Here is a 3,142-nt window from a genome sequence, read left to right as displayed (position 1 = left end):
ATTTTACAGAGTGCTGATTGGTGCATTTACAATCCTTTAGCTAGACACAGAGCACCGATTGGTGCGTTTTTACAGAGTGCTAATTGGTGCATTTACAATCCTTTGGACACAGAGCGCTGATTGGCGTGTTTTTAAGTGCTGATTGGTGCATTTACAATCCTTTAGCTAGACACAGAGTGCTGATTGGTGCATTTTTACAGAGTACTGATTGGTGCGCTTACAATCCTTTAGCTAGACACAGAGCACTGATTGGTGCGTTTTTACAGAGTGCTGATTGGTGCGTTTACAATCCTTTAGCTAGACACAGAGCGCTATTGGTGGGTTTTTATGGAGTGCTGATTGGTCCTTTTACAATTCTTTAGCTAGACACAAAAGTTCTCCAAGTCCCCACTCCACCCAGGAATTCCAGCTGGCTTCATCTCTCAGCAGCATTTAGATAAAGTTGATTTCCTTTCACCATACCTCTCGCTTCTTAAGTTTTCAGCCTCTTAGCAGCTGGACTTGAGCCGGCTACATTGGGGAGGAAAGAGTCTCCTAAACCATACCTGAGGTGTGCCTTGGACATCTAAGTGAGGGGTGGGGCAGAGGCCCTGGCTAGTGTGAACACTGCTCCTGGTGAGGAATGACTGTGGCCTTATCATCTGCTGCAGGCAACGATCATTCTGTTTTCTAACCTAACCTGTGCCAATTTCACTGAACATCCAGACACACACACTGACACACACCAAGGCTGACTAGAAGTTGGTAAGATTGCTTTTCTCTTATGGCTGTTGGTAAGCCAACCAATTTCTCCATAATCAAAGCTCATACACATGTGATTCAACTTTATCCTCATACAAATCCACAAATGCATGAACTCCCCTTGTAAAGAACTGTTGTTAAACAGTTTAAAAATTCATCTCCAATCCTCCTATTCACTGGTGTTGATCAACATCATAAATAAAATGAGAAGATTAAAGGCTGATGAATTAATTCCCTCCCAGGTACTAGGGAAACAACCTGGAAATCTTCTTTATTGTCATTTTGGAACTTAATTTTGAATATGGAAAAGGCTTATCTACTTGGAATTTAATTAAAAGTAAATAAAGAAGCTGTAGTACAAAGATTTTACTGGGAAGGAAAGGAAATAGTATCCAGTTTCCCCATTGTGCCCTTCTGTTCAACTCCTCATCCAGTCTGTGTTGGGAATCAATTCCTCACTCTCTGCCAAACAAATGTATCATTCTTCAGATCTTTCCTGATGGAGTGGTAAAGAATTTGTATGCTTATGGCCTTCTCAGTTAATTCTGCAAATAGAGATAGAGGGAAGTTTAGTAGTGTTTATCCAAATTTTAAATGAGCAGCCTCTTTTCAAAAAGTGCAATTTGTATTGAGATCATTACAGATTCACATGCAGTTGTAAGAAATCACATAGAGATCTCCAGTGCACTTTGCCCAGTTTCCCTCAATGGTGACTTTTTGCAAAACTATAGTACAATATTGTAACTGGGAAATCAACATTCATACAATCTACTGATCTTATTCAATTCCCCGGTTTTACTTGTACTCATTCCTGTGTGTGTCTTCAGTTTTATACAATTTATTACATGTGCATAAGTATGCCTTTGACTTAGCATTTCCACTCTTAGGAATCTCTCCTCTAGAAATATTTGCCTATGTGCACAAAGCCACATGTACAAAAATATGAACTTTAGTCCTTTCATAGTACTAACAGAAATAATGACATTCTGCTTGCATCATTAGGAGCATAATTAAATACTTCTGGCACAATATGGAATGCTATGCAACAGTGAATAAAGACAGGAGCATACCTATAAAAGCTGATATGGAAAGCTCTCACAGACAAAATAAGTGTAAAAAGCATAGAATAATAGAATAATATAGGGGCCGGGTGCGGTGGCTCACGCCTGTAATCCTAGCACTTTGGGAGGCCAAGGAAGGGGGATCACGTGAGATCAGGAGTTTGAGGCCAGCCTGGCCAACATGGTGAAACCCTGTTTCTACTAAAAATACTAAAATTAGCTGGGCACAGTGGTGCGCTCCTGTAATCCCAGGTACTCAGGAGGCTGAGGCAGGAGAATTGCTTGAGCTCAGGAGGTGAAAGTTGCAGTGAGCCGATATGACACCATGGCACTCGAGTCCAGGTGACAAAGTGAGACCCTGTCTCAAAAAAAAAAGAATAATATAGGTACATTTATGTGGAAAATGTAAATTGATAAATGTGCATACATGTGTATGCATATAAATGCCTTTAAAAACGTGAATTACACCCCTCAAACTGTTAATAACAGCCACCAAATGTTTTAACTGAGACTCCGTAAATCTAAAACATCTAGGCCTCATCTTTGGCATTAAGACAAATCTGCAATCACTTCACAGCCAGTCTATGCTTGAGACTTAACTCAGAGCCTTCCCCCATGGGGATGAAAAATCCTCTTCTACCTGGAAGAGAGGAATGGTGGGAGTCTAGAGGTGCCTGTCAGCCTGAAGTAGCACCCAGGGGTGTGAGGCAACTGGGTTTATCTGAAAAGACATGGACACAGTACATCCAAATTTTTTTTTTTTTGAGGTGGAGTCTCGCACTGTCGCCTGGGCTAGAGTGCAGTGGCATGATCTCGGCTCACTGCAACCTCTGCCTCCTGGGTTCAAGCGATTCTCCTGCCTCAGCATCCCGAGTAGCTGGGATTACAGGCGCCTGCCACCAGGCCCAGCTAATTTTTTTGTATTTTTAGTAGAGACGGGGTTTCACTATGTTAGTCAGGCTGGTCTCAAACTCCTGACCTCGTGATCCGCCCGCCTTGGCCTCCCAAAGTGCCGGGATTACAGGCATGAGCCACCGCGCCCGGCCCCTAATGTTTTGTATAAGCAAAAACAGCAAAACGTTAACAAAATAAATTTTAGTAATTCACAATGAAAAGATAGCAGGTCTCTTCCACATCTCAGGCCACCTAGCAATCCATTTTTCCAATTGCAACCGTTCATTATTTATTTAGAAGTTAAAATGAGTGGAGGAGGGGTGAGGTAGGACATTTAGTGAAATTCTTGCAGCTGAAAGGAACAAATGGTTCTTTCCAAAGGTACATTTTTTGTAACATATAGACACATTTCCCATAAGAAACTCCCAGCACAATTGAAAGCACAT

Source organism: Homo sapiens, chromosome X (assembly GCF_000001405.40).
Source record: "Homo sapiens chromosome X, GRCh38.p14 Primary Assembly".
NCBI lineage: Eukaryota > Metazoa > Chordata > Mammalia > Primates > Hominidae > Homo > Homo sapiens.
Note: the sequence above shows the minus strand (reverse complement) of the source record.